The 22,974-nt window shown below is 36.4% G+C and overlaps 1 protein-coding gene across 4 annotated transcripts in view, besides 1 other annotated feature; it reads left to right on the top strand.

Annotated features, from left to right (window-relative positions):
* Positions 1-22,974, top strand: part of ITGBL1 (integrin subunit beta like 1) — a 268,182-nt gene that overhangs the window by 119,808 nt on the left and 125,400 nt on the right. For all 4 annotated transcript variants that reach the window (NM_001271754.2, NM_004791.3, NM_001271755.2 and 1 more), the window contains 3 exons: positions 2,942-3,064; positions 6,805-6,945; positions 10,734-10,874. In NM_001271754.2, the coding sequence (NP_001258683.1) occupies positions 2,942-3,064; positions 6,805-6,945; positions 10,734-10,874 (405 nt within the window). The remainder of the gene's footprint in view (positions 1-2,941; positions 3,065-6,804; positions 6,946-10,733; positions 10,875-22,974) is intronic.
* Positions 6,956-7,250: a silencer, noted in NCBI's record as "tiled region #3234; HepG2 Repressive DNase matched - State 9:DNaseU". NCBI's record gives its function as "represses a minimal TATA promoter and a strong SV40 promoter by Sharpr-MPRA in HepG2 cells {active_cell/tissue: HepG2}" and the evidence as "EXISTENCE:reporter gene assay evidence [ECO:0000049][PMID:27701403]".

Genomic DNA, 22,974 nt, shown 5'->3' on the forward strand with positions numbered 1-22,974 from the left:
TCTATTGGGCACTATGAAAAATGAGAGCTAAAAATCATCAAGTGTAAGGCAGAAGACCAGTCCTAGAGGCTGAGTTAACTGGCAACCACGAGAGAGAAGCTGTGTGTGTCATAGCATGAGCACAGGAGTCTGGAGCTTTTGCCTGGGCGTCCATATGCCATGTCTTGGAGGCTCCGTTGTGAATTCTGCTTTATGGGTGAGACAGGAAGTCTCTGAGCTGTTGTAAACTTCCCACATCAGCCGGGAATGTTTCCGATGTGTGGATGAGAGGGAGCTGCCTATGGGGGACTTCAGTGAGGAGTCATAGAATTTGGAGGCAGAGGCTGTTCCTTCCCATCTTTCCTGAAAAAACTTCCTCATACACAGTCCTAACCAAGTGACTTCCTGCTCTCATATTATATATGAGAGGCCCATATTATATATGGTTACATGTATAATATTTGTATAGGTTTATATTTGTAGTTATAAAACAAGAAAACATATGACACAAAGGCTTTTGCAATAGACTTGTGGCAAATGCTATACAAAATGTATTAATAGGGTATCTCTTCCTGGTCTATGATTTACTTAATTTTAAGCATCTCATTATTTTCTATAGCACTTAGTTCCTTGCAAACAACATAACAGATAACAAGAAAGCTTAATGGCTGGATATGTGGGTGGTTGAGAGACAGGATGAATAAATGTGAAAATGAAAAAGAAGGGTGATAATTAGAGAACAAAAACTAGATGAAGCAATAGCATAAATTATAGCATTAGATTTCAAATTACTTTTATGAATTGAGTTAGCTTTTAGGGAAAAATGCAATAAAATGAAGTTTAATGACAGGAAAATTCACATGAGTATTTGCAAGATAGAAAAATAAATTCTGCAAAATCACCATTTATATGTAACTGTGAGTGAAAAATTTATAGATAATAGTGACTTGCAAGTGATCTGGGTAACAGAATCATGCAGAGGATATGAAAACAAGGATATTGTCAGCATCCATAAATATATTTTCTGGAGAAAATGTTTGTAAATATGATGAATATACTCTATATCTTAATGGGAGAAGAGGAAGAACCCAAATTTTCTCAAATCCTACTATGTACTAGGTGCAGCAGTGCTTCTAGAAACATGACTGGGTACATATTCATCACTTGGTATTGGCAGCAGTTCTATGAAGCAGAGATTATTTGCAGATATGGAATCTGGGAATTAGAAATGAAAGCAATGCCTTTAAAAATGCATAGCTCATGAGGATTAAAACTCGGAATTCAGCTACAGCTCTACCTTACTCACAAGTTCATTCTCTTTCTAATAGATCACATATAGATTTGCTAATATCTAGTAATTCAAACCAAATTAGCAACAGCTTCCTTGGTTCCTTCCCATCCTTCACCCTTTACACTCAGTCACCAAATGCCCTCTACTCTTTCTCCTAAAAATATCCCCAGATGTATTTGTTCCATTCTAAACTCATCGCATCATGTGTCTAGCCACTGTCTTCTTTCCTGCAGACAAATATAACAGCCTTTTAACTCATTTCTTTGCATCCACTTTTGCCTCATTTCAGTTCATTCACTCTTATGCTATTGCTTCATCTAGTTTTTGTTACATGACAACCAGAGTAATCTGGTAAAAATTCATACATGATCACAGGACTCCCTTGCTTCTATGTCTTCCAATTATTTTTGGATTAAAGCTGGAAATCTTTAACATGACCTATAAGACTTCCATGAACTGCACCTCAGGTTGCTTTATTCATTTCATGCCACTTTTCATGCTGTTCTCATGTGGTGTTTTTCCTTCACTTCCCCTTTTATTGCAGAGCCTGTGCTATTGTCTCATGCTGGAAGTAAGCCTCTTCACCATCTCACTTCTCTTAGCTATGCTTTTTCTCTTGGCTTTTAGTTCTCAGCTACTTCCTCAGGGACTCTGACTTTGACCTACTGGTCTCAGTTAAATCCCCTTGCTATGTGCTTCTGCAACACTTTGCACTTCTGTATTTATTTTATCACATTGGTTTTTGCTCATATAAAACTCTGAGAGGAGGGTTATGGCTGACTTGATTCCCGTTGGATTTTCAGAGTCCAGGGTGGTTTCTTGTGAGAGATCAAGTCTCAGTTGATACATGGTGATGGCTGTGATGAGCATTAAAACTCAAAATAGATAAATTAACAAGGAAATTTCTCAAGTGGGCATTCTACCTCTCAAAATTGTTTGAGTGCAATATTAATGTTGGTGAAATTACATTTGGGGGATGTGGTAGAATCTTCAGACTTGGATGAGTATATGGCTCGTGGTAGACCAGATGACTACCATGCCTCTCTAACGTGGAGGTCCCCTGAGAATCTGGTGAGTTACCAGCAATCCATGCCTAAGGAAATCCACTCTTGTCCCATTATTGTAAGGACATGTGTATCAGTATAAGTTAATGCTGAGGAGGAGAAATTATCAGGGGCACATATGATTTTTATTTATGCATTTGATAATAAATTATTTCCACAAATATTTATTATATAAATAGTATGTTCAAACATAGTGCAAAACATTGAATAAATACTGGTGAGGAAGATAAGCAAGGTTGCTTCCCTCACAAAGCTTAGAATTTGCTGCTTTATTTCACTTCAGACCCAGGTGTAATCAGAAGACATTCATGCATTGGTTGGATGGCTATATGTGGAGTAGCTCTGCACTTGGAGAGGTCAAATTTACATTCATTAAACCATTAGAGGTCAATAATAATAGTTGTGTGATCTAAAATATAATTGCCATGCTAAAATAACCTCAAGAAAGAGTAGCATGTGCTTTACCTCACCATGCCCACAGAAATATCTAATTGAAATATTAAATTGATTTGGATTATCTACTCTCTTGAGAGAGATGGTATAAAAATTCATTAATTATAATTTTATGTGCATGTAACAAACAGTCTTTTTTGTTTTCATGGTTTAGGTACATGTCACTGTGGCAGGTGTAAGTGTGATAATTCAGATGGAAGTGGACTTGTGTATGGTAAATTTTGTGAGTGTGACGATAGAGAATGCATAGACGATGAAACAGAAGAAATATGTGGAGGTATGTATATTGGCTCTGTAGAAATTAATAAAAGTACCTGTTTTTTTCACCTATTTCATTGTTCTTTTATCTCTACATAAGTTTCTGCTCTAGGTGTGCTAATGTAGTTTAAACCTATGTTTATCTGGAAAACATTTCACATAAGGAGAGTGAGACTATGGCATTAAGAGTAGACTAGTACTTTTTAGATGCAAAGCCAAATTGTCCCCAGAGGAGAGCTGTGTCATTATGGCAACAGGCCAACTGCATAGCTCTGAAGTAGTCCTAGTAGAATACCATCTCCTCTGCTCACCTTAGTCACTTTTATTTTCCTTTCTCCTACTCTCTTAAGTGTACATTTTCATTTCTTTGTTTTTCCCTTTCTAAAACATGAGTCTCATGTCCTATCAGGGACAATGAAGGTCAATAGGGTTATTAGCCTAGAGTTTACCTCCCCCTCTCTGTCCCTAAACACTTAAATAACATTTTCAATGACCTTTTCTGTGTACCACCATTACTCAATTCATTTTTCTGTTGTAGCAGTTCTTGCATGTTTGCTAGTGACAAATTCTGCAATAAGTGCTTTACATTCATTATGTTTTGTCTCACAACATCACTCTAGGCTAAGAATTATGTTTATCTACATAGATAGATGTGGAACCTGGGACGTGGATAAATTAGGTAACGAACCCAGGGTCAGTCCACCAATAATAGTAGAATTTGGGCTCGTGTCTGTGTGATGCCAAAGTCTATGTTCCTGATGCCTCACCACTCACGACTGCATCAGTGCCTTAGAGCTCAGAGCTCCACAAGAGGAGTCTCTCCTCACCACTTGCAGTTTTCATCTCTTCTGCTCAACCTGCAAGCCTGTGCCCAGAGTTCCCATTTGCAACCTTGACTGGTGTAGGAAAAGAAAAGTAGAAAGCAGAGAGAATCATTTGGTTTAGGTAAATTTTTCTCTGCTCTGAACTTATATTTCACTCCTATCTCATGGGATTCCAGTTGAAGGAAGACTGCCCTGCGTGCAGAAATGGTAGTTTTAGAAGTATTGTTTTTCTGGAAGGACTAGGGCCCAATGGGGCCACGTGGAACCAGAGAACCCTGAGAAACTGTGGCTAGCATAGGACAAGCTTGTTCTTTTGTTTACATTTCGGTAGCTTCAATTCCTGTGAGTCATCCAAATACACTTATTTTAGGCCTGATTGGCCCTCCCTCCTTGATCTCCTGGCTGTACAAACTACCTGGATAAAACAAACAAACACAAAAACCTTATTTTCATTTTTCCGAGCCAATGACCTAAGCAAGATGCTGCTCAGACAATTCTTTCTTAAAGGGCTCAGTCCAAAATAATTAGATCAATTAGACAAATCCATCCACAAATATATGTGTTTGTCCTCTTGATGTTTAGTTTCCAATTATTATAGATGGAAAAAAAAAAAAAGAAGAAGACGGGAACATGCTTTGGGGCCAGTGTGTGTTGATAAACACCACAAAAGCAGAGTCTATTTGCATGTATCAATAGAAAAATGTAACTTGAAACAACACAACAGAAAATGTTTAACTTTCAAACTTTCTAGTTGTTATTTCCATTTGTTTGAGGCTTAAGCAATTTCATGGTGCAAAGTCTCTGAACAAGGACACCAGCACTGCAGTAAACACCCTCTGGGGGTGACATTGCCTGGGATTGTAAATCTTTCCATGTGTCATTCACATGAAACCAATCTGCTGAGAGATGATTCCACAGTTCATCAGTGAAGTAGTACAAATAGACATTTTCTTGCTCTATCAGTTTGCACAAAGCAAAGAATTATGTTTATTGTCTGGAATATGTATTGTCCTAAAGCACACATTTTAATCTCAATTATTCAGATGTGTCTTGTTCAATATTTTTATTTGAGTTATGTGGATATTTGTTTAATTTTCCATACCTGCATAGACGTGTATTGTTACATAATTTTTGCTTCCTTATTTACCTCTAACTCAAAGGTTTCTTAGTAAAACCCTAATTCAGTACTGAATTGTATAAATATTCAAAGAATTTGGATGTGAGAAATATAGATTTTCTATCATTTATTAATATAGTAATCCTTACTTATGTTGCACCTTCTGTATAAATTTTCTGAAATTACAGAGAAAATAAATTCCGTAGTCTAAAAAGGTGATTGGGTCGTACAAACCTGACTCCTAAGAAAAGCAATTAATATACACTATTGCTTTTTTTTCAGTGTAATCCTTGAGTTCTTGAGGCCTGTGATATATCACTAGGATGTGATTTGTGTGTGCAAGTAGACACCATTTTAAGTTCATAAATAAGATATATAGATGATATATTCTGTACTGATTAAATCACTTGACAGCCTTTGCATTTGCTTAAGTAAACAAATTTAAAATTCAAATTCATTGTGGAAATGGTCATTGATTTTTAGGTTAACAAGTGATTTTCTTTGAATATCCCAATTATAACTTATTTAGACAGAGAACATGGCATTGGGTCCCTGTCTCTTTCTCTGTGTCTCACTATAGCACTCTTTCTGTTCATCTCTCTGGCTCTGTCTCTCAGATGTGTATCTTCTTGATGGAAGTCTCATCTGCTGGACATGAATAGCGTAGGATACCAGAATATTCTGTTGTACTTCTTGCTTCTTATGTGAGTTTTACAGGTCCTATTAATGTTCTTGCCATTGGCCAGAAATACCATAGTGTTAGAATGATAAATATGCTTATAAGACAATGAAAAGTAGTCTCATAATCAGTTTTGCATTGTCTTTTGGGGAGTTTGGCTGTAAGAGAAGAGAGATGGAAAGAACAAAGACTTTAGCCATAGACTGATAAAACACAAACTCCTATAATACAGAAAGAATAGACTAAAAACAAAACAAGAACAAGGACATACATTTATACTTAGGTGATATAACTACAAAGATGAGAGTATAAGAAGTAAAATTTGGGATAAATGCCATCTTTGGGGAATTTGCAGAAGGATTGCTAGGTGTGGATGAGGAAAGCAATGGTGCGATAATTCACTACAGATGGCTTGGAGGCAAGTGCAGATGAGCAGGTAACAGGTTACAGAGAGGTGGGAGCTGAAAGAGGGCATCTGGACACAAAATGGTGAGTGCCCTTACCTGTCATTTGTATCCCCTTGACAAGTAGAAAGGGAATTTGATTGCGTGGCCAAGGGCCCATGGTATTTTGTTTGTCTAAATGAGGATTAAACATGGACTAGGCTGAAAACCTCTCTTTCACATGGTGGAACACAACAGCTTGTGGGGCACAGTTGAGTGAAAAGATGAAATATTTATTCTGCTTTAAAGAGTTGTTTGGTCATTCATAATGTCTATCTAGGTAAATATGCACCATTGGTTTCTCAATAGTTGATTTCAAATGAAATATTTTAATAACTAATTCAAGAAACGTCCTTAGAGTGAATGCTCATATATATTTGGGTTTGATGTGTGCATTTGAGATGGAAAAGTAATAGACTGTCATGGTCATTCATGTCATTTCTTTAAAAATACTTTTAATCAGTTCCCTGTCTAGGCCAAGTTAAAGGACACTTTGCTCTTTTTGTATGATTAAGCAGGTATAGGCACAACCATGATGTGTTTGGAGAAAGCTGTATAATTTGATTATTTTAGGCAAGGAATGTGGAGCTGTGACAGTATTTCAGAAGGCAAAAATGATCACAAAGAGATAGAAAGTTAATTCTGCTTATGAAAGTTGCTTTTTTCCTCACTGTATAAAATTCATTTTGGGTAAAGGCCATGGGAAGTGTTACTGTGGAAACTGCTACTGCAAGGCTGGTTGGCATGGAGATAAATGTGAATTCCAGTGCGATATCACCCCCTGGGAAAGCAAGCGAAGATGCACGTCTCCAGATGGCAAAATCTGCAGTAACAGAGGTGTGTCATTCATACATGTTACTACATAATGGGGAGGCAAACAAAGCTTTTAATTGTTAACACTTCTTTTCTTTGTATTTCCTCTAGTGTGGGAGGAAGTTATCTTCTAACCATTTACTTTGATGTAAATCAACATTTACTATCCCAACAATCTTTTCTGTCTTGTTTTTTATTGAGTAGAAAAGAGAAAGATAAGAAAGTTGCTGTCATTCTTTAAGCTTCACTGAATAAACAGTTAACTTAGGGACTGTAATTTCTTTGGCAGCCCTCCAGACATAGCACAGTGCAGCTAAAAGGCAATTCCTTTAGATACTTCTGTTAAATGTCTCTTGACTAACAGAACCATCTACAGCATGAGCATCTAATTATCCGTAGAGAATTCAGAAAACCCTCTTGTCTTAATTATGAGTATATGGAAGGCTTGGTTGAAATGCAGATTTGATATGGACTAATTTAACTTCCGTGTGCAATAATAAAAATTTGATATTGAATACAATAGATATACAAAGTATGTATCCAATAGCCATAGGAAATGTACACTGACTTTACAAAGGAAGTTAACAAATATATTAATATTGCTAAACTATAATTTAAAGGTAGTTAACTAACTTTTGATGTAAAATCAAACAGTTTAAACATAGTTTTAAAATTCCTTGAAAATACTTAATTTTCCCTTTGCTGTAGTGATAAAGAGAGCCATACTAAAGTTTTCATTGCCTATCCAATGGCATTAAAAAGTGATTATACTTCTTTAAAACTAAAAAAATCTAGATAGCTGGAAAACTTTTTTTCATTTCTATACATGAATAATGCATTGCAATAGGTAATGCTAATACAGAAATCGTAGCATACCACCTGTCAGAAATTGACATAGAGGAGTAAAATGTGCCACATTTCTTTACATAGAGAAAATAAATAAAAAGGCAGGAACTTGGAACAAAATCATGAAGTCTTCCTTTGTGGGGACTAAATCTTACTATATATCATACTAATTTACCTTATGGTTTCTTTTTATTATTTATTATTATTATACTTTAAGTTCTAGGGTGCATTGCACAACGTGCATGTTTGTTACATATGTATACATGTGCCATGTTGGTGTGCTGCACCCATTAACTTATCATTTACATTAGGTATATCTCCTAATGCTTCCCCTCCCCACTACCCCCACATCACAACAGGCCCCAGTGTGTGATGTTCTCCTTCCTGTGTCCAATGTGTTTTCTGCATAAGTCCTTTTATGCAGTAGGGGTCACAGTCACCATTTTTAAGTATATGAAGCTTGAACTCTGGTACTGTGGAAAATGACTATTTGGCTGTCAAAAAGAGAGAGGTGGAAAATGGAATTGGTTGGGCTGTGGATTAAGGTCAGGTTCTGCAGCAGAGTTACATTGGCTGTGAGAGACGATGTCCTTCAGAAACATAAGCTAAGCCACCTGCATCCCACTTCGCTGTGCTTGGAGCATTCTGACCTGGAGCTATGGCAGAGGCAGAATGGGAAGCAGCTTGCCTGAGCGAGGCTCACAGCTTCTGAGATTCAGGGGTACTTGAAGACAGGGCAGAAGTGGGCGCTGAGATGAGTCATTTTTTTTTCTCAAAAGATAATACTCCTGACTACCCTGAAAGCATTTCTGCATCATTGCATCCATAGGTAATAGAAACACACTGGTCCCTGCACATACCTATCTTGTCTTCCTTTTTCCCCATCTTCAGGGGCCAAAAAACCAATGTTGCAGACATAAGCATTAATAGAACAAATGTCCTCTATTGCCCATCTGTTTTATTGAGTTTCATAGTGGACCCCTTTACACGTGGCTGAGAAGCTGCTTCTTCGTCACATCTGCATAGCTCCTAGTCCCTGTTCCTCCTGACCAAACTCATTTATCCTATTATGAGAGCAATGCATATTCATTTTTTAAAATCTAGATAATAAAGTAGAGTACACAGAAAAATAAGAAAGTGACCCATAAACCTAACTTCCAGGTGTAACCTCCTTTTACATTTTGGTACATGAGCTTTCAGTCCGTATTTATTTATTAAAATTCATTTTTATGGCTGCCCTATCCCTGTATTTCCTTCTTATTAAAGAAAAAAAATCAAATCATACTGCACGTGCTGATTTGTAATTTTACAGTTTTATTTCATGATATATGTTGTTTATCTTTCCATATTTATGGGGCAAAAACCTAATTTATTACTTAGTGATTGCTAGGTAGTCCATATGTGTGTACCATTACTGCGCTAATTCCCCATTGAACAATATTTCGGTCACTAGTAATTTTTCAAAAACATAAATACAACTATATTTTATATTTCTGAACATACACTTGTGTGTACTTTTTCTTTCTGTTGGGTACATTAATTAAAGTGAGCTATAAGTCTGAATAATAACACAGATATAAAAAGTACATATTGCAAAATCGCTACCCAGAAAGTTGTACCATTTCGTACTCCCCTTCAGGGCAAGAAAGTACCCATTGTCCCACACCTTTACCGAGTCTGGATCCAACAATATTTTCCACCTCTGACGATCTGACTTCTAAAATAATTGCCAATCACGATTATTTTGAAGATCTGCCACTGCTACCCACTTAGTAGTGGTTGATTGAGTGATAAACATTTTTCATCTTTATCTGTCATTATTTCTGTATGAAATTTCCTTTTGTTCTTTCCTTTTGTCTATTTCACTTTGGGCATATTAATCCTTTATATATTCAATTCTATGATTTATTTATATGTTTTTGAAATTGTTCTTTGTCTTTTACAGACATATTAACTACTTGTTTCAGCTTTGTCAGTCTTTTTTTTACAGTGTTTTGTTTCCAACCAAAATTTTCAATTTTTATGGAAATTTTCAATTTCCTTTTTTAGTAATTGTGCTTTGGGGTCTTGAATAAAAAGAGTTTAGTTCATATTATACAGTTTTATTTTGTACGTTTAAATCTTTAATCCAACTGGTACTTATTTTGATGTAAGAGGTAAGAAAAGGATTTAACTTTATGTCTCTATCAAATGATTAGCTGGTTGCCCTAAAGACAGTTACTGATAATCCACACAGAGTAAACATGATGTACAGCTGGGCATTTCCCTCTGCAAATCTGCAAATGACCAAGTTTATGTCTCTCAATCTGATCTCCAACATTCTCTATAATCTGGGCTCATCTGATCTAGCAAACCTTACTTCTTAGTCTTTTTTATTTTTTAACATGCACCTCAGGGTCCCTATGCCCATCCCTACCCTTCTTTGCTCAGTCTTTTTTTCTTGACTTTCTCTTAGTTCTACCTCCAATGTCTCCTAGAACATTTCCTCTAATCCCTATATATCCAATCCATCCACTGCTAATTACTCCAACACTCATTGATCCTCTTTCTCCAAATTCTTAGAGCATTCATGTCTTAGTTTACAAAATATTTGCACATTGTTTTTAGTGTTTGTTAATTTTTCTTTCTAATTAGCTTTCTATTTGCCAAATAGATTGCAAGCTTCTTGGGGGAAAGGATTATATCTTATATAAATTGTTTTAGTGTTATCTTTGAAGGAAACTAACATAATACTAATGACACATTCCACCAACTCACATAATTATAGAATAGATAATAACTTTTGTTTATTAAGGAATCTCTATTATCAATATTAGATGGTGTTTTTCCTTTTTAGAATATTTTTGTCTGAATATATGTGTTTTTTTCAAACACAAAGTAAACAGAAAATAATAAGCGATATGTGAAATGCTTTCTTTCATGGTTTTTCTTGACTGGATTCTTATAAAATTCTTCTTCCCACCTAGGGACTTGTGTATGTGGTGAATGTACCTGTCACGATGTTGATCCGACTGGGGACTGGGGAGATATTCATGGGGACACCTGTGAATGTGATGAGAGGGACTGTAGAGCTGTCTATGACCGATATTCTGATGACTTCTGTTCAGGTAAGGGCTCTTCCAATTCCTGTTTTTCTGGAGGGGGAGGTGGGGCTTGTTAATGGGTAAAAAAAAAAAAAAAGCAATTAGAAAGAATAAATAAGACATACTGTTGGATAGCACAATAGGGTGACTATAGTCAATAACTTAATTGTACATTTTTAAATAATGTAAAGAGTATAATTGGATTGTTTGTAACACAAAGGATAAATGCTTGGAGGGGATGGATACCCCATTCTCCATGATGTACTTATTTCACATTGCATGCCCGTATCAAAACATCCCATGTACCCCATAAACATATGCATCTACTATGTACCCACAAAAATTTAAAAAGTAATGAATAAAAAATAAAAATGCATATTTCCCTGTTTTCAAGATTTCTGATTCTCACATACCCTGTAAAAGAAACTGAATGTGTATTCTAAAGCATCTTATATTTGCAGTGCTCCTACTGGTAACTTGGAAAACCTCCAGAGAATTCCCAAAGTTGGCAAAGACTAGAGATGAGAGGGCACCCACTCTTTTAAAGTTAGTCTAATTCCTCACCCAGGAGAACCATTAGCTCTAGATAGCTACTCAGTTCAACTCTGAGACTACAAAACTAGCAGAGCTGTTGACAATGAACAGGATAGTTATCATTAGGGCACCTATATTAATGTATTACAAAACAGGATAATACAGTGCTCAGGGTTATTTTGTGCATTAACTCTTTGATAGGCTTTAATGTTATTCTGCAATGTAGTCTGTAATTAAATATCAATTAGTAGATTCAAAAATCTTTGACTGTAAATACTGTGGGGCAGATACTGTCTGTTAGGGACTGAGTGACATCTGGGCTACTGGTGTAGTAGGAGCCAGTAGGGGACAGGAGACAGCCATGAACTTTGACTTCATGGAGTTTGCAATCTAAATGCAAATAAATAAAATATGTAAGTCCAGGATGTCTAATAGTGCAAAGAAAAAGAAAGCAGTCAGAAGTCTATCTGAAAAGGTATCATTTAGCAAAAATGGAGTTATAGATTTTCAGTCCAGTTCTATTTGATAACCCATAAGGTAGACACATACACATATACATCTTGCTAAGCTTGACTGCCTCATTGGTGCATGCAGATGGATAGAAACTCCTCTGGTCTCCTGAAAGTTTGCCAGCAAAGGGAGATAAAAGAACTGTCCCATTTAATTATGAGTGTGCAACTTCAAAGGCTTCTCCAGACTGACTGGGGAAAGCCTGCTGCTAAATCTTCCCATTGCAGAAGGGTTTCCCTCTTCTGATAATCTCTTGTGCTCCAGAGGATTTCCTAAACATTTTGTGAACACTATTCTCTTGAGGGTATTTTTTTCTATTATTAATTATACATGCTCATGTTCTTCATTATCATTGCTGTCAACACAGTGGTAATAAAAGAGCTCATGACTAGTGAGTGGCTTCTGTGTTCCAAAGAGATGATGAGAATAGTGGGGAAGAGGCCTGTTGGAGATTTTAATTAGGATGATGTGGCTCTTCACAGTGGTGGTGATGTAGGGCTCATGAATTGCAGGAGGCTATTGGATCACAGTGCATGTGGGTTTTATCCTAAAAAAAATAGGCTTGCAGGTAAAGAAAGATGAGAGGGGCATTCCAAGCAGAAGGAACAGAGGGATAGAATCTGTGTATAGGACCAGACTCAGTTTGAAATTACCAGAATGCAGAATTAAGGAAGCATGTGGTAAAAGGTAAAGTTGGTTGAGAAACAAGAACTGGGGGGCTTTTTACCTTCCTGCAGACCCAGGTTTTATTCTAAAGGCAATGAGGAGCTAATGATGGTTTTAGGCAATAGAGTGCTGTCATCACCAGATTTCTAGTCTGAGTGTCTGGGAAAATGTTGGTGCCATTTACTGAAATAGGGAATATGGAAGGAAGCTGTCAAGTTTGTTTCTAGACATCTCCAGCATAGAGGGCAAAGGGTAAGCCAAAGTTTATATTTTTTCCCAGCCTGTTGAATATGTGAGTCAGGGTCAGGGTTAAACCAAGAGAATTTCAAGTTGTAAGCATAGAGTTGGTGGTTAAAACTATGCTGGCATTCAGGAAATGCCATTTGACAATACCATTTTCTTTTTTGAGATGGAGTCTCCCTCTGTTGCCCAGGCTGGAGTGCAGTGGCATGATCTCAGCTCACTGCGAGCTCCACCTCCCAGGTTCACACCATTCTCCTGCCTCAGCCTCCCGAGCAGCTGGGGCTACAGGTGCCCACCACCACGCCCGGCTTATTTTTTTGTATTTTTAGTAGAGAAGGGTTTCACTGTGTTAGCCAGGATGGTCTCAATCTCCTGACCTTGTGATCCGCCAGCCTCGGCCTCCCAAAGTGCTGGGATTACAGGTGTGAGCCACCTCCCCCGGCGGCAATGTCATTTTAAGATTGCTTTTGAGATAAACATGATTTGACACAATTTAAAATAAGAAAATAAGGGAGGCATATAAAAGGCAGTATTTTAAAATTGTAAGTGTGTGACTTGCTGATATGGAGCCCCTTTTTCCTATGGGTATTCACTCTCTTGTGAAATCCATAATTCTGATGTTGATCCTGATTTTGGACTGGGGTTGAAAAATTCAAACTAACTACATTATAGCGATAATTCAGGGTCCTGTGAGCCAGTCCATCTCACTGTGAGGGAGTGGGGTCATGGGGTAAAGATGGGTGATCACTCCTGAACTGACACTTCAATCCTCGTGTAAGCTTGTGTGCAATTCCCGCAGCGTGTCATTTAGTCTTGGAGTGCTTACTCTAGGCTGAGCAGGTGAAGTGTCATTAAGGAGGCTGCACTGGAATCTAATTTTCCACCTCACCTATTCCCCTCCAACCCCTCTTCCCTGTTTTCCTTTTTCTCACATTTTCCTTTCTTTCATACCCTATGAGATTCCACACAGTGGGTATGGACAGGTAGGGGTAGGAAGAGGTGATGGCACAATTGGCTGTAGTTTGAACAAGAAAACATCAATCTATTATTGTGATTTTATGATTCGCTGGTTGAAGTGAATTGAACATGGCCAGCTTTCCACAGCTTGGCTCCCACACTTAGAATGAGGAATTGAGGAAAGAGGAAGAAACTCATATTTACAGAGACTCTACTCTATTGGACCCTTGCTGAGTTCTTTTATAAACCTCATTCCATTTTATGTACACACTAACTCAGAGAGGGAGGCATTATTGTCTATAGTTTAGCAGAAGAGAAAATACATTCAGAGAAATTAAGTAACTTGATAAAGTTCACACTGCCATAAAAGTGTCATCTGAAAACACATATAGCCTGACTACTCATGTAACTTAATCTCCAGGTGATGCAAATACAATTCTCCAGTTTTACTTTATTTTTCTGAGGAAGAACTGTCCTCTGGGTACTCAGATTTTTTTAAAATAAAACTAAGCTTCTCTGAACATCATTACAATCTGGAGCAGACATCAACCTCTGCAGTATTTCATCATTCTTACAGAATCTGTAGAATTCTATATACTGTATGGTATTATGCTTATTAGTCTTTAAATTTTTCCTAATTAACAGTCTAAGTTGCAGTGTAAGAAGAGTGCCATATAGTTGATTATTGAGTATATTAATACCTTTGTGTTATGAGACAGAAGTAACCCAATGACATCAATATTCTCTAGTCTTTCATGCAAGACTAGAACATAATAAGGCTCTGATGAAATGAACTTTTATTTTTAGCTCCTATTCTTGCCATCCTGAGAGTTTTGGTCTTATTTAAGTCCAAGGGAAGTCTCTGGACGGATTAGTTTAAGTTAGCTCTTTTAATTGACATTCTCATTTTATTCATTCATTTCCATTCTCTCCATTTATCTGTTCAATAATGCATTTAAATGTAAATATTTTATGCCTAACACATCATGAATATAGGGAACACAAATATGTTGAAACATGGTCCCTGCACCCACCAAATAAATCAATTTTATTTACTTCTTTTAATCCTGTCTGTTGTTCATCATCCACAAAATATGTGTGTTTGTGTATGTTCATTTGCCCATACACCAACATGACTGTTATACTACACACATACACGCACCCCTCAAAGACAATACGGTTGACACAATTTGAGTGTGACTGAAATGATCAGGGCATGAATGGGCATCCTGACGTGTCCCGACTGTCCTGTTTGTTACACCCAATTTACTTTCTGATTCTAATATAACTGCTTTATTCCTAATGGCCGCTTACCACTCAGGTCTATTTACCCAAATCCCATAATTGGAAAAATACGCTGCAATGTGACCTTAAACTTTATCGTTCAGCTTTCCCTGCCTAAGAAAATTATGAAAATATAGGGAAAGTTTTGGCTTAGAGTTACATTAGTTTGGAAAATGGAATATTTTGATAGAACCATATTATGTGGTGAAATTTGTCCCTGTGGATTGTCAAAGCATTAAGAAAGAAACTAAAGGAAATGATTAAGTATATCCAGACCACATTTTCTTGAAAGGAAAAATTAATATATTGAATTTAAAAAAAATAGCAAGTACTACCTAGATCTAAGTTATTCCCCAAAGCTTTTCTCTATTGATGGTCTTCATGTTACTTTGTAAACATGTTAACAGACGATTCAAATTCACAGGCATTTTTTGATCCTTTAAAAAGAAAGAAGTATCCTCTAAAGCAGAGAAGTGTTTGTCTGGAATAGATGCAACTGCACTTGTGCTGAAACACCTGCACCTGTTTCTGGAGTTTGGATAGCATAACTCCAAAGAACACAATAGTTACAAATAAACAAGAAAAAGTTTAGTTAACACCCTTTCCTATAATGGCCTGAGAACCTTAATAATTCCTGCCTTCCCAGCATGGCCTTTGGACCACTCAATGGCTGCTCTTGCTGCAAATCTTCCTTTTCGTATGGGTATTTTGGGCTGCAGTCATTTTTATGGTAGGTAGATTATACCAACACCAAGCACTGTATTCTTCCATTGTGTGTGTGTGTGTGTGCATGTGTGTGTACATACAGAGAGATCTTTAGAGAGCATTTCTCTTATTTGAATTCTTCTGATGTTCGATATCAAGACAAACAGCACCATGCCGAATCTTTCATCTCTATTTCATTGATCTTCTGCCTACACAGTTTAAAGGAATACTGGTTAGAAGTAATGAAACTAAAACCTGCAGGCTTAACATACACATAAATTTGACAAACCAGCATGGAAGCATTGCATTTCAGATCCATGTGGCAAATTGATCTTTTTTTAGTTCTGTCATTTGAAAGATAAAGCAATTTGAGATAAGGCCCAGAAAAGATAGTGGCACATCAGATGAAGGACACAAGTCTCCTGATTTCTTCTTTTATGACCTTTTCACTATTTGTCTATTAAAAAAAAAAAAAAACCTGATGTAATGTTATGGCAGTCTAAAGGGTTTTCATGCTAAATAGATACCATTATCTCTAAACTCTTCTATATAGCAAAACCCAACATTTTCATCTTCTTGACTTTATCTCTACCAAATGATTCCTTCTTTGGCATAACTTTTAAAATTGGAATTGAGAAACTGGTAAATTCACAAGAAAAGTTGCAATTTTGTTTTATAATTTTCTGTCTTATCTGAAAAGCCCAATACCTGCCTGAGAATCTGGTACCAACACCTGATATTTCTAAGTGATTTTTAAACTCTACCAGTTAAATATCACAAAGGATTTTGTAGGACATGTACAGTTTCACTTAAAGTGGTATCTCTAATATTCTAAAATATATTTTGACAGCACATGACTAACTTCTTGAAATATGTAGTATATAATTTTTATTACTGAAAAAGCAAAAGTTATGTTTCTGTTTCAACTCTGTCAATTAATCTGTAATAAACATTTAAATTAGGCAATACCATTGTCGATACTATTTTTATTATGGTAGGCTAGAATTATAGAAAGTTTATCCATGCACTTTTATGCTTGCTTCTTCTATGATATACAGTAAGATATCTTGTTTAGAAAATTCTACTTTCCCCAAACAATAAAACCAGTTCTACTCTCCCCAGACAATAAAACCATCAAACACTTTCTGTGCCACTATTTTGTCACTTAAACTGGTGACCATACATTCGCTGACTTTCAGGAACTTCATTCTTTATGGATGGCTTATGTATGTCACTCATATTTAAATACCTCTTCTTTCCTTAGCTTGAACTTGTTCAATTAATATCAAATCCTGGTGGTAAAGCATAGAAGACATATCAGTGGATGATTTGAGGAGGAACATTGGCCATCTTGAACTAAACAATGTTCTCCCACTTTGATACTTTCCTGTTTAGGGCTAAGGTCTTTTATCCTTCAGCCAATCACAGCAATGATACAATCTCTTAAATTCATCCCAATGTGCAAGCAATTGGCTGCAGGTGTGTTATTGAGAAGATTATTGAGGAGTCATCACACACATGCCAAAGTAAGGACACATATATATTCTTCCCAGCTTTGCTTATAGTTGGCAATGCCTGGAGGTGAAGCACGCATTTAGAAGCATGATCCTGGAGAATGTTCATGATGTTGCATTAAGTACACAGGAAAAGAGGTGTGGGAGCTTATAGGCTGTATTTTCCCCCTCATGTTTGTAGAAGAGCATCAGAAATAGCAATGGGATATAAAAATAAAGCTGCAATAATAGAATTATGTTAGGGGAAAAAGGTTGAGAGAATTAAAAACTGAGAAAAATAAAATGATAAGAAAACAGAACGTGCCTATGGGAGAATAAAGGTGAAAGACCGCCAAAGATTTCTTCCTGCAGGTCTAGAGCATCTGAACTTAAAAAACGAAAAATTATTAAGGCTTCCACAGCTAATCTGGCTTTTGTTACTAATTGGATAGGATTCCAACTTTAAAAATCTCTTTTGAATAACTTCTGCCTTTAGGATTTGTTTTATTCTGCCACATGTTTTTAAAGATGTCAACATGTGAATGGATTTCAGATAGGAAAAAATGGTTGCTTTTAAACATGGATTCCGACTATGCAACTTAAGAACGTTCTCCCTTCAGTCGTGTGTCTCCCTTTGTACCTGCCTTTATCCCCAAGGTTTCTATTTTATTTTCCCTCCCCAGGGAGGGAATCCTCCTGTGGGGCACGTCACTGCTTGTGAATTCAGGTGGGCCTTAGTGGCAGATGACATTCTCTTGGGCAGTTAGGGACTTCCTGGGTCCCGCATCGGCTAGATGTATTGTTCTAACCTTCACAGCCATTAAACTTTCAAGAGTGGAGAAACTTTTTCTCCCTCTTCAATCTGGTTTTCAATGTTATTGTTAAAGTGTCAACAAGCAATGTTATTGTTCCAGTGTCAACAAGTCTCTCGCAAATGTCAGCATGTTCTGTACTTTGCCCAGTTTCCTCACAACAGATCTGTCGCTGAAATAAAACCACTTGTCTCCAAGAATTTCAAAGCCATTGGCTCCTGTGAAACAACAGAATTGACTGTACTTTAAATGTGAAATATTTATGTGTTAAAATCATTATTTATATAGGCATTTCCAATGTAGATCTGTTTGCAATGTTTGTCCTTAACCTTACATGAGGGCTGGAAATAAAGAAAGATAGGAACTTCTTTGTTTTGTTTTTTTTGAGTTGGAATTTCCCTGTGTCACACAGGCTGGCGTGCAGTGGCACAGTCTCGGCTCACTGCAACCTCCGCCTCCTGGGTTCAAGCAATTCTCCTGCCTAGCCTCCCAAGTAGCTGAAACTACAGGCATTTGCCACCATGCCCAGCTAATTTTTGTATTTTTAGTAGAGATGGGGTTTCACCATGTTGGCCAGGCTGGTCTTGAACTCCTGAACTCAGGTTATCTACCTGCCTTGGCCTTCCAAAGTGCTGGGATTATGGGCGTGAGTCACCACGTCCGATGGGAACTTCTTAAACTGAGATGAATGAATGGCAAAAGCCATAGAACCCAACAACCTATGAAATATAATTGTTAATAAGCATAAACCGTTACAAAAATTCCCATACTGTAAAGTCTAATCATATTCATATGTCATGTATGTTTATTAATAATAACAATTTTCTTTTCCTTTCAACTGAGGTCTAGAACAGATAATTATGGCAACAATTTGTCAAATAGACTCTGTTACATAGCAGATGATCAACAAATGAGCATCTGAATTGAATTGAATTTGGGATTAAATGAGAGATTTAAATTCAGTGATCCCTAATGTCTCATTCCACTTTGATTTATGATTTTGTGATTTTTTTTTTACTAAAAATTAGTTAAATGGTGAAAAGCTTCTACATATGTGTATTGTCCAGTTTCTTCAAATTCAGAAGATGGAACCGCAAACCTCAAGGAATATTAGTAAAATGGTCTAGTCTTTACTGGAGGCCAATTTTCATATTGGATGATATACATTAATATCAGATGCTAAAGACAGCATGCATTTTCATCCATTAGCATTTCTATGTACTTTTAAAAAGTGTAATTCCACTTTTAAAATTCTTCATGCATTTTTGCAGCAATTATAGAAATCTACTTTGTTCTATATCTGCGGTGATGAGTAGCTTCATGTTTATTAGGAATTATGGAAAGCTCAGTTGAAACTGTGCTTTCCTCTACTTGCTTATAATGTGGGAACTGATGAATACAAAAACCAGTAGCTCCTTTTTATGTAGCTTTTAAACTATTTAATGTACTTCCGAAGAAATGTGGATTGATAATATATTTTCTTCCTTTTTAAAATGAAGAAACTGAAACTCAGATGTGGTCATTTGACCAGCCCCACTCTGTAGGAAGCAGAATCAGGATTTGAACCCATTATTTTATTGATAATGTAGGTCGATTTTTGCTAAACCACACCGTTTCTCACAATTCTTTGCAAACTGTATATTCATGTGTTGAAAAATTTAATATCTTTTCTGACTTCTTTGGAATACACTAGGCTAATCTTCAAGGATTGTAAACTCCATGTAGGTTACTGGTTTTACTCTAAGGGTCTCCAGGCTAAACATGTAGTATTTGCTTAAAAAGTGCATGAAAATAAAGTGTGGAGACTCCATAAGATAACATTCTGCTTCGGTGAAGTAACCAAAACAGAAATTAAGAAAACAATTTTATCTGCGGTCGTGTCAAAAATAATATACTTAGGAATAAAATTAACCAAGGATGTGAAAGATTATTGCACCAAAAACTGTAAAACATTGATGAGAGAAATTGAAGACACAAATAAATGGAAAGATATCTCATGATCATGGATCAGAAAAATGAATATTGTCAAAATATTCACACTACCTAAGGTGATCTACAGATTCGTTGCAATTCCTATCAAAAGTCCCATGACTGACACCCAACTGATTTTCAACAAAAGTGCTAAGAACACACATTGGAAAAAAGATAATATTTTCAATAAATGGTGCTGGAGAAATTGGATATCCATATGCAGAAGAATGAGATTAAATCACTACTTCTCATGATATACAAAAATCAACTGAAAATGCATTAAAGTCTTAAATGTAAAACCCAAAGCTACAAAATTACTAGAAGAAAACATAGGATAGTACTTTACTGTGGGCAAGAATTTTTAAAATAAGACCTCAAAAGCAAAGCAACAAAAACAAATAGATAAATGGAAGGACATCAAACTGACAAGCTTTTGATCAACAAAGGAAGCAACTAAAAGAATGACAAATAGACCTACATAATGGGAGAAAATAGTTGCAAACTATATATCTGACAAAGGATTAATATTAAGAATACATAGGGAACTTAACAGCAAGAAAACAACCCAAGTAAAAATAGGCAAAATACATTAATAAATATTGCTCAAAAGAAGACATTCAGATGTCCAACAGGTATATGAAGATATGATCAAGATCACTAATTGTCAGGGAAATGCAAATCAACTCCACAGTGAGATACCTCTTCACTCCAGTTAGAATCGGTTTTATTATAGAATTATAATAAAAAAAGACAAAAGAAAACAAATGTTGGCAAGGGAGGTAGAGAAGAGAACACTGACACACTGTGGGTGAAAATGTAAATTAGTATAGTCACTATGGAAAACTGTATGGAGGTTCCTCCAAAAATTAAAAATAGAGCTGTGATATGCATATAATTCAGTAATTTCACTACTAGATATATATCCAAAAGAAGTGAAATCAATATGTCAAAGATATATCTGTACCCCTTTATTGCAGCACTATTTACAGTAGTCAAGATATGGAATCAACCCAAGTGGCCATTAACAGATGAATGGATAAAAAATTGTGGTATATATACACAATGGATAATTCTGCCATAAAAAGAAAGAAATCCTGTCATTTGCAACAATATGAATGGAACTGGAGGTCATCATGTTAGGTTAAATAAGGCACAGAAAGACCTTATTTCAAAACCTAAAAAATTGGAATCTAAAAATAAAATTGAAATCATAGAAGCAGAGAGTTTAAAATGTGGTTACCAGAGACGGGAGGAGGAAGATGGGAGGATAGGGAAAGGTTGGTCTGTGGTCCAAGTTACAATCAGATAGCAGGAATAAGTTCAACTTCTATTATACAGTAGGTTGAGGACAGTTAACAGTAAGATATGGCATATTATAATTAGAAAATAATTAGATAAGCTTTTGAATGCCCTTACCACAAATGATAAATGCATAAGGTGATCATCATGTGAAATACCCTAATTTGATCATAATGCAACCTATATATGTATCAAAACATCTGATTCTACCCCATAAATATGTACATATAATAATTTTTAACCTCTCCTAGCATTTTTAATAGTAATAACAAAAAAATCTTAAAATTCACATGGAACCACAATATACCCCAAATAACTAAAGCAATCTTCAGCAAGAACAAAGCTGAAGGCACCATAGCTCTTGATTTCAAATTATATTACAAAACTATAGTAATTAAAACAGTATGGTACTAACACAAAAACAGACACATAGACCAGTGGAACAGAATAGACAGCATAGAAATAAACCCATACATTTATAGCCAATTGACTTTAAACAAAGATGACAAGAACACACAATAGGGAAAAGACAGTTTATTCGATAAATGGTGTTGGGACAACTGGATGTCCACATGCAGAAGAAAGAAATTAGAGTCTTATCTCATACTGTATATAAAAATCAACTCAAAATGAATTAAAGACTTATATGTAAAACCTGAAATTTTAAAACTACTCGAAGAAACGTAGGAGAAAAGCTCCATGCCATTGGTCTTAGCAATGATTTTTTTTTGGATATAACACCAGAACACAGACAACAAAAACAAAAATAAATGAGTGGGACTGCATTGAACTAAAACGTTTCTACAGCAGCAAAGGAAACAACAGAAATGAAAAGGCAACTTCTGGAATGAGAGAAAATATTTGCAAACCATATATCCAATAAGGGGTTAATATTCAAAATATATGAGTTCTAGTCCATTTTTGCATTGCTACAAAGAAATACCTGAGGCTGGGTAATTTATAAAGAAAATAAATTTATTTTGGGCCAGGCACATGGTGGCTCATGCCTGTAATCCCAGCACTTTGGGAGGCCGAGGTGGGCAAATCAGTTGAGGAAAGGAGTTGTAGACAAGTTTGACCAACATGGTAAAACCCCGTCTCTACTAAAAATACAAAAATTAGCCGGGCGTGTTGACGCACACCTGTAGTCCCAACTACTGGGGAGGGTAAGACATGAGAATCACTTGAACCTGGGAGTTGGAGATTGCAGTGAACCGAGATTGTGCCACTGCACTCCAGCCTGGGCAATAGAGTGAGACTGTGTCTCAAAAAAGTAAATAAATAACTAAAACCAAAAAACCAAAAACAGGTCTATTTTGACTCACATTTCTGCAGTCTGTACAGGAAGCATGCCACCAGCTTCTGTTCCTGGTGAGGTCTCAGGAAGCTTCTGATCATGGCTGAAAGTGGAGGCAGAGCTAGTGCATCACATGGCGAGAGAGAGGAAGACAGAGGGAACAAAAGAGGTTGGGAGGAGGCGCCACACTCTTTTAAACAATCAGATCTTACGTGAACTACCAGAGCAGGAACTCCCTCATCAGCAAAAGGACAGCATTAAGCCATTCATTAGGGATCTGCCCCCATAGTCAAAACACCTCCCACCAGGCCCCATCTCTAGTTTTGGGGATTGCATTTCCACGTGAGATTTGG

This window comes from Homo sapiens, chromosome 13 (genome assembly GCF_000001405.40).
Source record: "Homo sapiens chromosome 13, GRCh38.p14 Primary Assembly".
NCBI classification, from domain to species: Eukaryota; Metazoa; Chordata; class Mammalia; order Primates; family Hominidae; genus Homo; species Homo sapiens.